This window comes from Homo sapiens, chromosome 3 (assembly GCF_000001405.40).
Source record: "Homo sapiens chromosome 3, GRCh38.p14 Primary Assembly".
In the NCBI taxonomy this organism is placed as follows: domain Eukaryota; kingdom Metazoa; phylum Chordata; class Mammalia; order Primates; family Hominidae; genus Homo; species Homo sapiens.
In genome coordinates, this window is record NC_000003.12 from 184,582,803 (window position 1) to 184,596,133 (window position 13,331).

The 13,331-nt window shown below is 54.2% G+C and overlaps 5 annotated features.

Moving 5' to 3' along the window:
- Positions 16 to 532: an enhancer, noted in NCBI's record as "H3K4me1 hESC enhancer chr3:184300606-184301122 (GRCh37/hg19 assembly coordinates)". NCBI's record gives its function as "activates a minimal SCP1, AML or CMV promoter by ChIP-STARR-seq in primed H9 embryonic stem cells {active_cell/tissue: H9 hESC(primed)}" and the evidence as "EXISTENCE:reporter gene assay evidence [ECO:0000049][PMID:30033119]".
- Positions 533 to 1,048: an enhancer, noted in NCBI's record as "H3K4me1 hESC enhancer chr3:184301123-184301638 (GRCh37/hg19 assembly coordinates)". NCBI's record gives its function as "activates a minimal SCP1, AML or CMV promoter by ChIP-STARR-seq in primed H9 embryonic stem cells {active_cell/tissue: H9 hESC(primed)}" and the evidence as "EXISTENCE:reporter gene assay evidence [ECO:0000049][PMID:30033119]".
- Positions 1,049 to 1,564: an enhancer, noted in NCBI's record as "H3K4me1 hESC enhancer chr3:184301639-184302154 (GRCh37/hg19 assembly coordinates)". NCBI's record gives its function as "activates a minimal SCP1, AML or CMV promoter by ChIP-STARR-seq in naive H9 embryonic stem cells {active_cell/tissue: H9 hESC(naive)}" and the evidence as "EXISTENCE:reporter gene assay evidence [ECO:0000049][PMID:30033119]".
- Positions 11,209 to 11,831: an enhancer, noted in NCBI's record as "H3K4me1 hESC enhancer chr3:184311799-184312421 (GRCh37/hg19 assembly coordinates)". NCBI's record gives its function as "activates a minimal SCP1, AML or CMV promoter by ChIP-STARR-seq in primed H9 embryonic stem cells {active_cell/tissue: H9 hESC(primed)}" and the evidence as "EXISTENCE:reporter gene assay evidence [ECO:0000049][PMID:30033119]".
- Positions 11,832 to 12,453: an enhancer, noted in NCBI's record as "H3K4me1 hESC enhancer chr3:184312422-184313043 (GRCh37/hg19 assembly coordinates)". NCBI's record gives its function as "activates a minimal SCP1, AML or CMV promoter by ChIP-STARR-seq in primed H9 embryonic stem cells {active_cell/tissue: H9 hESC(primed)}" and the evidence as "EXISTENCE:reporter gene assay evidence [ECO:0000049][PMID:30033119]".

Below are 13,331 nucleotides of genomic sequence, written 5' to 3' on the forward strand. Positions count from 1 at the left end.
TGTTCAGAGGCTGAGGCCCGGAAGTTCGGCTGCTCCTCACTGAGGCTTCCTATGCCCAGGCGCTGGGCTAAATGCTCCATTTATACACGGATCTTATTTAATCTCACAACAACCCAGCCAGGCAAGGAAGTATTTTTAACTGCTTTTTACAGAAGAGGAAAAGGAGAGGTTAAGTAACTTGCCCAAAGTCGCTGAGCCAGTAAGTGAGGCCCGCGGCTGTGATTCCCACCCAGAGACTGCCTGCATACTTGAAAGGTTCAGAGGATAAATAACAAGAACCGGGGAGAGGGTTAGGAAAACAGCTTCTGGAAATGTCAAAGGAGAAAGCGTGGTGGGGGGCCCTCAGAGGCCCTTCGGACGCAGGAACAGGCGGGGGAGGGGGGAAGTGCAGTCATGTTCCCAGTATCGGGAGGCATCCTTGGGCAGCAAAGCTTTGTGCTTTCCGAGAGACCTGCATACCCTGGGTAGGGTCCCTGGGTAGGCACAGAGGCATGGACAGACACCACGCCATGTAGATGAGAGGTTCACGTGTCGCGGCCCCACACCTCTCCCTGGACGCGTCCAGGCAGCGCAGAGCTTCCCAGGGGAAATCTAAGCGAGAGGCTGCACCTAGGGGTCTGCGGAGCCGCAGGCCTGGAAGCATGCGACCGTGATTTCAGGCTCTGGGGTGAAGGCCCAGGGAGGCCGCGCGGAGGAGGCCGCGGGCGAAGGTTGCAGGGTCTGCTGCGTGGCGCACTCCCGGCCGCGGAAGCCGACGGCGATCGGAGGAGCCTGGGAGCGGCCCTGGCAGCGGCCCTGGCACAGCTGGCGGCGGCGCGGGCTCCTCAGGCCGCCCCCGTCCTTCACCGCGCGCTCCCGCGCTGGGGCTGCTCGGCGGCGCCCGCTCCTTAGTATTCCCCCCACGGAGCCCAGCCGCGCCGCCGCAGCCGGCCCGGGGGAGGGGCGCCCCGCACGGCTAAGCTCTCTGCGTCCCCGGGGCGGACGCGGGGAGGGGAGGGGAAGGGACGCAGCCTCTCCGCCGAGGCCTCCTTCCTCCCCTAGTGGGGGGGAGGGGCTGTGCGGGGGCAGGGGCGGGCGATGCGGGGGCCCAAGGTGGCCCTTGGACTAGGCGCCGGAGCTGTCAACGGGGCGAGGTGTGGCGGGCGGCCGGGGGAGGGGACGCGGTGCCGAGTGGCCTCCTGCACAGCCGCTCAGCATTCCCCGGCTGCAGGCGCAAATAAAGCGGAGGGGGCGCGCGGAGCTCCTGCTCAAGGGTCCACTTCCTACTCTCGAAGCTAGGGAATGGGGAGGGATCCGTGGCCCGGGAGTCCTGCGAAGCCTTCCTCGCCATCCTGTGCCATCGCCCTGACCTTTATAGCGGGAGTCTGGGTGGAGGGCGCGGAGATGCTGGGGTGGGGGCTCCACTCGCATAGGTGTGACATCGCCCTCTACTGGGTCCGCAGGGAGGGCAAGATCGTGGTCGTTTAGCGCCAAGGCGGGAGGGGCCCTGGAAACCACACGATCAGGGGAACTCTTGGACTGTGCGCCCCAGGTCGAGGATCTCGAGGGATGTCTTGAGCCCAGAGGTCCGGGGGAAGTAAGGTACTCTGTCGGCTGTGCCTTGTGCAGCCACCACGCATACCTCGCTCCTCCTGTATCCAGGTATCCTCGCCTGCATGCGTGCCCTCTCCTGCCACTTGCCCACGGAAACAGCTGACAGGCACACTTCACTGACCCAAGCTACAGCACAGCACAGCCCTTACTCCCTCACTCACGGTCATTCGTCCTCAGTCACTTGACCCTCTAGGCCCCACCTTCCAAGCCCACACGCCCTAAGAGTCTCCCATGGCAGAACGGGTAGGGGAAGGGATGCAGAGAGGGAAGAAAAGCCATCCCCTTCCTGGAAGGCGCCTCCCGCCCCCAGCGCACTTCCTACCGGAACCGCTTCACCTAACTAACCTGTGTCTCACTGGAAAGGGCTGGGAGGAGTCCTCAGAACCCCCAGCAGGATTGCAAGGAGGGAGGGCTATGATTAAAGCAGAGGAAGAGACAGAAGAGAGAGGGCGCCTCAGGAGTTGTCTGGCTCTTCTGGGGACAGATAAGGAGTGAGAGGGAATGAGATTTTAGTAGGCCTAGTGTTGGTTACTTTCACACTTCCTGGGGGCAGAAAATTAGATCTCCCAAGTTAGGGCTAAAAGGAAGTCGGTGGGAGTGAGGGGTTGTTGAGGCTTAGGAAGGGGCTGCTCCCCCTTGATTCCCTCATTCCACTTGCCCCATGGGGGCAGTTATAGCCCCAAAGGAACCACTTCTTGCCCTCACTATGCCTGAGCTCAGAGAGTAGGAACAGCTAGGGAGCAAAGGTGCTTTAGTCTGTGCTCAGCCCCTGAGCACAGGGAGAGGTGCCCAGGACAGCAGGTGAGGGAGAGGGACCTGGATAGCAGTCCTTAGACCTAAGCCTGAGTGGCCAGACCTTGGATTATAACCCAGAAAATGTGGGTAGTGCCATGGGAAGGGCTGCCTATTTATGTACGGGCAGACCGGGGTTCAAAGCCCATCTCTTTTGTTTCTATACCTCTCTGCCTCAATGCCCTCGGTTATAAAAAGGTCTAGTTATCATTTCTATATCATGAGATTGTTAAATCAGTAAATACATGTAAAGTATGTGCCAGGATTGTAGTAAGTGCTCAAAAATGTTAGCTATTTTTTATTTGTATGAAGTTTGAAGAAAATATAGAAGCAAATAGGAAAATGCTGAACAGTGCTTGGCACATAGCAGGGATGGAATAAACCAAGGCACTAGGAGAAATCCACCAACTCCATTCAGGTCTCTCTGGAAGGGAAGAGGGTGAGGAAGCTAAAGGGGCAGAGAAAGAGGTCCCACCCACGGGGCTCCTGGACGTTTTGCTGCAGGCCTAGCCCGGGCCCTGGATCAGTTCTTGGGGTAGGGCTGCTGGGGCCTGGATGGTTTCAAGGCCACGGGAATGTGGCACATTGCTGAGAGGGCAAGTGTGGCTCAAGCCTTCTGGCTTTTTCTCAGCACACTGATCCTGGGCCCGCTTGGGGAAATGGAACTGTTTCCCTCCAATAGTCATTCTTCAAGTGTGTACTAGAGAACTCTTGTGTGCCAGGCACTGTGCTGGGCACTGGGGATACTGCGATGAGCAAGAACATAGAAGATCAATGCTTCAAAGAGCTTCAAGTCTAATAGGGAACAGGGATGTGATTCAAATATACATGCAGATAATTGTATCTAATTACAGGTCGAGGTAAATGTTACAGAAACCAAGTTGAGTGTTGTGGAACTAAATCACAGTTCTAGGGACCTCAGCTAGTCTTGGGCAGGGCTGGGGGCTCTCTGACCCTTTATTTGATGCCCAGCAGAGGGAGCTGGGACCTCCCCCCCCATTACCCTCCAGGTCCTTTTAACCTTTTAGTCTCTGACCCTGAGCATATCTTCATTCACTCCCCAACTCATTCATTCATTTATTCAACATACTTTCACTGGGGAGTTCTATAGACCAGGTCCAGTGTAAGGAGCTGGGGATAATGGGGATAAACCAGCTTACAGCCCCCACTCCCTGGAGGTGTGCACAGCTGAGAGGGTCCCTGATATATAAACCAATGAATGCAATGTGGTAAGTGCCACAGGGTAAGTTCTATACCTGGGTAAGCATTCCAAGTGCTGTAAGGAAGGGACCTAGGCCAAAATACTGTCAAAAAGGGCTCCGAGAAGTTGATTCTTTTTTTTTTTTTTTTCACTCTTTGAGATGAAGTCTTGCTCTGTCACCCAGGCTGGAGTGCAATGGCGCAATCGCAGCTCACTGCAACCTCTGCCTCCCGGGTTCAAGCAATTCTCCTCCCTCAGCCTCCCAAGTGGCCTGGATTACAGGGGCCTGCCACTGCGCCTGGCTAATTTTTTTGTATTTTTAGTAGAGACAGAGTTTCGCCATGTTGGCCAAGCTGGTCTCGAACTCCTGACCTCAAGTGATCCGCCTGCCTTGGCCTCCCAAAGTGCCGGGATTACAGGCGTGAGCCACTGAACCCAATTCTTGAATTCAATCTTGGTGGCTCTGTTGCAGTTAGCAAGAAGAGAGAAGGGAGTGGTATATGCAAAGGTCCTAGGGCCCATGAGAGCAGGGCAGGCTAGGGGCCCTCATTCCAACTCAGAGGATGAGGAAGGAACACGGTCATGAACATATGATATTGCCCAAGCCTTCCCTTTTCCGTAAGTCATCCCCAGGCGGGGGCCACCTGCTTCTCACAGATCAGAGGAGTAGTCTTGGGCTTCTGGCCTCAGCAGTTCTTGGTTCCACAGAGTTCCTCGGGCACCCTCTATGTTGCTACTTCCTCAGCCCTTTGTTCTACGTCTTCTCTGCTGCAAGGCACATCTGTCCACAAGGGTTTCTGAATACGCGATGCACTCTGTGCCTCCAAGGAAAGGCTCAGAGAGGTTAAATGACTTGCCGAAGATCACAGAGCCAGTCCCTGACAGAGACAAAATCCAGATCCCATCTACCCTGTCCCCAGTTCTGTGTTCTTCCCCTACAACAGGATACCTAGGAAGGGGGTCCAGGGAAACCCAGAAGTGCTCCACTTGGATGACACACTCCGGCCCTTCCTGCCCACTTCGGAGTGACCCCTCCTGCCCCTTAGTTGCACATATTTTAAGGGCTGCTTCAGCTTTCATTTTTTCAGAGAGGGGAGGAGAGAGATTGGAGGGAAGCTGGGCACCCAGGCACTGAAGGCACTTGTCAGGAGCACAGCCCAGGTTCTAGCTTGGGGGTGGGGCAGACGGGCAAGGGGCTCTCTCCCTCCACCGTCTCTCCCTGCCCCTCTCTGTTTCTCATTCATTATTCCCATCTCATAAAGCAGGAATGAAAACAGACTCAGGATCTGGCTGGAGGCCTTCGGTGACATCAGTCCAGAGGTGGCTGCCCTGACCCTGACTACTGGGGGCTGAAGAGACCTCCTTCCCTACTTTGTCCTGGCTTGGCAGAGAGAAGGAGAAAGGCAAGAGTCAACTCTCCCTGAATCCCTCTCCCTTCTGGGGCACCGAACTTGGGACAGGTAAGAAAGGTGGCACTTGCCTGAAGGGACCAGAAAGGGTGTGTCTGCAGGAATGTGAGGGGTACTGGAGTTGGCTTTGGCCAGACACCACTGCCTCCCACACACCCTGCCACTCCTTCCCCACTGCCACCCCAGCACCACTCCCGGCCATTGTTCTCCAAACATCCCCTACACTTCCTTTCGAAGCCCCCTCTGTTACAGAGGTCTTCCTTTATACTCCCTGCTCCTGCCTTCTTCCCAGCCTCACCTCCCATGGCCTTTCCAAGCCCAGGTCAGCTCACACTCTGGCTTCTGAAACTTGGTATCTGGCTGACCAGATTCTTCTTGGCTCCGGCCTCTTGGCTCTCCTACCCAGATGCTGACCTCTCACCTGCCATGACTTCCACCATTCCTAGTTGGCCTCTTGACAGCACATTAGGCTACCCTTTGAGCCTGGTCATCATGTAGCCATCTCCTCCAAGATTGCAAGTCAGATATTGCAGGCTCTCATCCATTCTTCCTCTCTGCCTAGTTTCAAAATGTGGCCCCCAAACCCCTTCTTCTCCCCACCTGTGGACCTTCTGAGATGCTCTTCTCTCCTAGCCCAACCTGGATTACTCCCACTCCCAAACATCCCCACCACCATCTCTCTGAATAATCCTTTTCTTGTTTTGCTAATTTCCAGGAACATTCCCCCACAACAGCTGGTACAGGCTTTTCTACACTACTCAAGGCCCCAGTTGTACCTTCTTCCATTCTCAGCAGAGTTTCTCACCTTCAAATGTACTAAAATAATGCAGCCTCTCAACAAACACTCACTGAGACTTCTTTGCCAGGCAATGGAGATAAGTGAGCCCCCTCAAGGAGTCCACAGGCCAGTGGAGGAGAAGGAAATGCAACAGGGTGATATAGGAATATTCTTGGTGTCACTGATGGATTTTGAGGATAGTGCCATCATGAGGACAGTGTTTAGGGAAGAGGAGTGAGGCAGGTGTGGGAGGGACTGGAGGATGTAGAGATAGTGGCAGGAAGGCAGAGAAAGATGCCACAGTCTAGGTGAAGGGTAAGAAGGTCCTGGTTGGAGATGGGGTGAGGAGGAGGTGCTGCCGAGGTGACGGGTGTGAATGATCTTGCAAAGGTAAGTAGCAACGTGCTTGGTGACTGATGGGATGTGGGAGGGGAGAGATAATAGATGTCTGAGCGTGGGTGATTTTGGGGACTGGCAGTAGGGCATACTTTGGTACCACTTGTGGATCCAGAAAGTACAGGAGAAGGAATAGTAAGTGTGAAGGAGAATAATGAGTTCAGTTTGAGGCTTGCCAGGAGAGATGCCCCATAAGCCATTGAATATCTGATCTGGAGCCACTAGGCACAGCATGGAAGCCCGGGATGAAGTACGGATAGTGGGCAGGATTGCCTGGGAGAGTTGTGGAGAGAAGAGTAGAAGCTGAGGTGGGTATGAGGGAATGCCTCCTGGCTGCTCATGCAGGCATTGTTCATGCCTCTCCAAGAGCTTTCACCACACTGCATTGTAAATGTTCCTGTTTGTCTACTCCCACACCATCAGCTTCTCAAATGAAATCTTAGAATAAGAACAACTACAATTACCATTACTGAATGCTTACTGTGTCAGGCACTGTGCTAAGAACCTTATTAGGTTATTCCATTTAACATAAATGAATTAATAGATGAATGAAATAATGGATGTGAGGATATAGTACCTGGATGGATGTATGAGTAAAATATGTATATGTTGATGTACATATGGACAAGTAGGTAAGTTGATGGGTGAATGAATGGGCAGATCAGAAGATGAATGGAAGGATGAATAGAGGAGTAGATAGACAAACTATGTATGAATGATGAATAGTTGGCTGAATGGATGATGGGTAGGTGAGTGGACAGAGAAGTGGACATGTGAATGGATGGAGGGTTGAATGAATGGTAGGGTGGATGAAAGAATAGACAGGCAGGTGTGTGGATGAGAGAATGCATGGATGAATGGGTGGATGGATGGAGGGGTAGGTAGAAAAATACATGAATAGATAGAAGAATGGAAGAGTAGAAAGAATGATGAAAAAAGAAAGAAGAAATGAAAACTAAATCAATACACAAGCAGAAATGAGAAGATAGATAAGTAGATGAATGGGTGAATGAATAGATGGATAGATAAATAGATGGGTGGATGGAAAGATGAATGGTAGGATGGATGAATGGATAGACAATGGGAATATGGATGAAAAGATGAATGAATGGATGGATAATTGAAGGACTAGATAGCAGGATCGCTAGATGAATGAATGGTTCGATCAATGAGTGGATGAGTAAATGGATGGATTAATGGATGTGTGGATGGCTTCTCCCTCTCTCCCCTGTTATAATCGCTTTAACAGTCCTAATCCAGAAACCCCAGGACCAAAGCAGATGCCAGGTTTGGAGGGTTGTGATTAGAGTGGGAAACTTATTGGCATCACAGGAAGTGTCAGGGGAAGGAGGAGTGTTTTGTGGGGCTGCCAGGACAGCCATATCTATTCCCAGGTAAAAAAGTGGTTTTTAGGAAGTAGCATTCAGGCAGGCAGGAAGCAATGAGGACTTGCTGAGTTAAAAAATAGGACCTACCTCCAAAGGCATCTGGGGAAGTGGTGGCAATCCCCAGTTCATAGTCTGATAGGCCCAGTTGCAGGCCTTCAGTTCAGTTCTACTATCTAGGAGCTGTGTGACCTTGGACAAGTTCACTTAACCTTTCTGACTTTCCTCATTTGTAAAATGAACCAGCAACATCTACCTCACACGGTCACTGAGAGAATAAAACAAGATGTTGCAAAGAAAGCACAAATGCCTTCAAGAAATAATAAAATATGTAGATTTCATTTTTGGTAGGGGAAGATAAACTAAGGAAGCTTCACTTTGTGTCTGTTTAGGAAGAAGTGTGAGTTTGGTGTGCGGGGATGATGGCATCATGGTCTAGGGTCCCCATGGCCTCTGGGCATTAGCACAGCCTCATAGGGTTCTCCTCGAGAAGCCCCCTCCTGCTTCCTGCTCCCGCAGGCTCGGGTCCTTGGAGATTTCCCAAGGCCAGAGCTGGAGGAAGTAGCATCAGGGTGCGGGTGGGGGCAGGAGCTAGCCTTGGAGCCCCTCCCTCTAGCCCGACCCTCCCTCTCTGGGCCAGGTGCCAGCAGACAGGGCACCCAGCTCTGTATGAAACAAAGAAGAGCTGCTTGTTGTGGAGGATGAGTCATGGAGACCCCAGAATGGCCCTGGGAGGAAGTGGGGAGAGGGCTCCTCCCCCAGCCCATCCCCAGGAACAGGACTTCTCCCACAGCTGGACCTCGCTGTGGAGGATGTGGATTAAAGGGAGCCAGGAACTGGGATTTGTACCTTTTTCCTCCCCACGACTTTCTTTTACCTCCCTTGTTTCATTTTCTCTCCATCACATTGACATGTTTTCAGATGGAAGAACAGAGGCTGGGAAGCTTGCCTTGGGTCTTGCAGGTATTGACAATATTCAACACCTGGACTTTTGGCTCTGCTGGAGGCATTTCCTCCTCCTAAACTGGCTTGTACTGACCTTGAACATAGGATAGGTGGAGAAAGACTGTGTCTTACACTAGACTTTTTATGTAATTTCATCTTCACAGCAATCCTGCAAGGATGACTTTATTACTCCATTTTACTTTTTTTTCTGTTTTTGTTTTTTGGTTTTTGGTTTTTTTTGTATTTTTAGTAGAGATGGGGTTTCACCATGTTGCCCAGGCTGGTCTCGAACTCCTGAGCTCAAGCGATCAACCTGCTTCAGCCTCCCAAAGTGCTGGGATTACAGGCGTGAACCACCGCGCCTGGCCACTCCGTTTTACAGACAAGAAAACTGAGGCTCAGGGAAGTAACTTACCCAAGGTCACATGTCTGGTAAGGGTTAAAGCCTGGATAGAACCCAGGGTGTCTGACTCTTGACTAGAGTGGTACCTTAGAGAGAGGGCCTTGAGGACAGGGACCCCCTGGGGTCTGAGAGAGGAGGTGAGAGGCTCTGGAGGCATGAGGACCCGGGTACTGTTCGGTTTGACTCAGCGGCAGGACTCCTGGCTCCGCATGCAGCTCTGCGCCAGGAGCCCCAGGTCTCTGTGTGCAAAATGAAGATGCTGAAGCAGTGCCAACAGGGCCATACCCAGCCCCAGCCCCCACCAGAGGGCTCAGGAAATGACACACCTGAATGTAGAACAGATTGTTGGACCCATCTCCAGCATCACCTCCCAGGGGAAGGGTTTGCAGATGGTGGCTCAGCAGCCCCTAGCGGGGAGGAGGCCCAGGCCTCCTGGGTGGAGGAGTGCCCTCCACAGCCCAGACCCTGCCATGTAGTGTGGTGGGCACATGGGCCTGTGGGTCAGGTCCTGCTGTGTGACCTTAGACAATTTGCTAAATATCTCTGGGCCTCATACTCCTCTTTTGTAAACAAAAGGAGAAAATGTGTTCTGTCTACCTTCTGGGCAAAGGGCCTGGAGAAAGAGACCTCCTACCCCATGGGGATCTAACTGTGGATCACAACCCAGTCTCTGGAAAGAGGTGGGGGAACGGGAGCTCTGCACGATCCTCCCATTGGTAAGGAGTGTTAGGCAGCACGAAACAGCACCCTGGGGGCTGCCTGGAATTTTTTTTCACAGCTCTGCCTGCGCATAAGGAGCTGCTTCCTCTTCGTACCCTTGCTATGGGATCTGAAACAGAGCCTTTTCTGCTCCTGCGGGAATAGAGAGTGTGTTAAGGGGCAGGCAGGGATGGCTCCTGGGATAGTGATCGGCTCTGCTGTGGCAGCTAAACTCTCCTATGGTCAAGGCCGGACACTGGGCTCAGCTCTAGATCATCTGCTCCTGGCACAGGCAGGGTGACTGAGGTACTCAAAGGGGCGGCCGGCAGAGCCTGAGCTCCCACGTTCTCAAGGCTGAGGCAGACAGCGCGAGCGGCCAGCCCACAGGGGCCTCTCTTTGGGGGCTGTAAGTTGTGTAGAGGCTGAAGTGCCCAGGAAGGAGTGGTGGGGACAGTGGTGTCATTTCAAGTGTGTGTGTGGGTCATCCCTTCTCCTTCCACACCCGCCTTGGCTGAGGCGGCAGCTCAGGCAGAAGGGAGTCTGGGGGGAGGTGAGGGCAGAGCTTTGCAAAGGAGGAGGCAGGAATTCTGGTTGGAAATCATTCAAATGAGGCTATGAAACCAGAACCCTGTCTCAGAACAAATTGGCCAGATTTGGCCTGGGGCCGGGAGTACAGGGGGAGTGGAGGAGGTTGGGCCCTGGCTGAGCAGGGGAGGGGTTGGACAGGACTCTGATGTGTGGCCCCAGGAGGAGCCCAGCCTTGGGCTGTGATGGGAAAAAGGGGGCAGTCATCCCTGTTCCTCCTGCCACTCTGTGGTCTGCCTGCCATGACCTAGGAGGGAGCTGCCAGGCACCCCAGCCACCCTCTGGCCTGTCCTGGAGTGAAGGGATCCAGTCCATTGCTGACACCTTCCAGGGCCACCCAGCTGTGACCCTGCCACAGTCCTGTCCCTGCCTTTTTATGGAGCAGAGGAGGCCCTGTGGCTCCCCAGCTCAGCAAGTATTCATTCTCACTTTTCTGTTTCCCTTCTAAGTCCCATGCCAACAGCTCCAGGGATGAACTGGGCTGGGGGCTAGGGAGGGAGGGGTGAATCTCTGAGGCTTTGGGGTATGCCTTAACAAATGGGTTCTCACTCCTTGTCCTAACTAGGGGGGTGTCTGGGGGCCTCTCGCAGGGTTGCTAGGGGAATGCCTCTCCTCCCTAGTCAGAGCTGAGGATAGGCCTGGGTCACACACTGGGGAGGGTGGACACAGGGGTTCACTGCGGGGCCAGGCAAGAGCATGCATGGAGGAAAACGAGGCCTTCAGAGACCTATCAAAGGAGCTGCTGTGTGAGACAGGCAACCTTGGAGGGTCAGCCAGGTTCACGCCGCTGAGAGGGATGGAGGCCTGGGCTGATGGAGGAGTGGTGGAGGCAGCTGGGGATGGACTGACTAAGTGGGGAGTGGCCAGGCGCAGGACAGTAGGCTTCTCCTGTCCAGCTGGCAGGCTGCAGGCAGAGCCCCAGGGAGCGCTTTCTAGGGAGAAGCTCTGTCTGTCTGCCTATAGTGGTCTGAGTGTCTGGGCCCCTTCTCAGGGAGAAAAACAGGGTTCCTTAGCCACCCAGTCCCCACACCTCCTCTTCTAGACTGAAGGGCCAAAATCAAGCCTCAGAGCCAGACAGAAGCCGAACTCAGACACAAGCCGTGACCTCCCGCTTCCTGCCCGACCCTTCCCTCTTGCGACCCCAATCCTGGGGTCTGTCTGGCATCCCGTTCCTTAAACACTGCCCTCATCGTGCAGGCTTCTGCCCTTGTTTCCACGACAGGCGCTCCCACTTTCTGTCCCCATAGCCTTTCCTTTGACTCAAGTCTCGCCCCATGGAGAGGGAACCAGAGACTGGTTGGGACCCCCCTTCTTATTCTTCTCTGTGCCCACTAAGCATCCAGAGGGGACCTTACTTCCTACCCACCTCCAGTGTGGGGTCTCAGAGGCCTCTGACCTTCCCCCTCCCAGCCCCAGTGGAGGCTTCCAGAATCCTCTCTGCTCCCCACCACGTGGATTCCCAGGATCTCCTACCTGCCCCTCCGAGTGTGGGTCTGTCTCGTTCACTACTCTCAACACCCCCTATTCCACCCCAGCGAGCCCTCAGGATTCTCTCTGTTGTCTCCACACCCCAGCGTGGACTTCCAGGGGAGCCCTGGAAGAAAGGCGCTTCTCAGGCCATGGAGGGGGTGGCCAGCCCTGGCGCCTGCTGGGAGGGGACTCCCTTCTGGCCCTTCCTTAAGGATCAGGCTGGACCTGGACCTCCACTCTCAACCCCTCCTCTCAACGAAGGGGGACCTGCTCTTTCGGGGGAGTGAGCTGGAGGGGGATGGGAGGGGCAGGAGAGGTGGGGGAACCGGTCTTCTGTTGTTCTTGGCTTGGAGCCCCCAGCCCCAGGGAAATCCTGACTCTGTGGAAAACTGAGCAGGCAGTCAGGCGGAGGAGGAGGAGTGGGAAGAGGAAGAGGAGGAGAAGGGGGAGGAGGACCAAGGGCTCAGGGTGAGTGGGGGTAGGGGCTCCTCTCATAAATCAATCCCACCAACGTCTCAGGCCTGACAAAAACCAGAGACCCAGGGTCCCTTGGGGGCCAATGTGGGGGTGGGGCACAGACCATCAGATGGACTTTAGGAGAGGAAAGGCTGATTCGAGGGGCAGCATCCTGCCCAGAGGGTTCTGCCTCCAGCCCCCGAGAACAACAGGTGTGTGTGTGGTGGGGGAAGGGTCTGAGAATTAGGCCTCACAACTACGGGAGCCCAGCCCTCATGGCTGTGACAGATCATTGGGGAAGGGGGGGGCCCACTTGTCTACAATTCAGAACACTTTTATTGCCATGGATTGAAGCCTGGTTCAACTCCTGGGGAACCCTGTGACTTCAGACAAGTTATTTCACCTCTCCGGGCCTTGGTCTCTGTCCCCCAGGGTGCAGGTTGCGGGGGCCGTGAGGTTGAAGTGGATGTTTACAGAGGTCCCACCTCACTTTGGCTTCCTCTGACACTACACCACAGCCCCTCTCAATGCTTGGCAGAGGAAAGAATATTGTTCTGGAGCTGGTAGGACAACAGTGAGAAGTCTAGGCTCCACCTTTTAGTAACTGTGGCCATGGGCAGATCATAGAACTTCTCGGATCCTCAGCTTCTGCATCTGTGAAATGGGCAAATATTGGCTCCCTGGCAGCGCTCCTATGCCAGTGAGTGAAATGCCAGTATGTAAAGTGCCTGGCCCCGCAGATTCTCAGTGGAAGGCCATTGTTTATTTTGTGTCTGCCTCTTGGGTGTTTACGGCATCCAGAGATCCCCTCTTTCCTTTACTGATGCTAATTAAGTGGATGCAGCTCCCAAACTGGTGACATAGGAAACCTTCGCAAGCCACTCCCTCAGTATTTTCAAGAGTCTTGAGATGCCTGCTTCTCCTGCGCCCACTCATCCTTCCTGCCATGGCTGGTGTCTTCCTGCACCGAGTGTTGCCCCACTTGGCCACTGCCCCAGGGGACACGTGAGGCCTAGGATGTGCTTTGGCTGGCCATCACCAAGGTCTGCACCATGGAGGAAGGATGCAGCCAGCCGGGGGCCGCCAACAACGAGCACTTGAACATGAACTGCCACTGCTGTTCCAACCCCCAAGTCTCACCACCTGCTGTCCTTGCTCCCACAAAGGTCCATCACAGGTCGTTTCCTGTGCCCTCCCCCTCTAGTCTCCCCTTCCAATG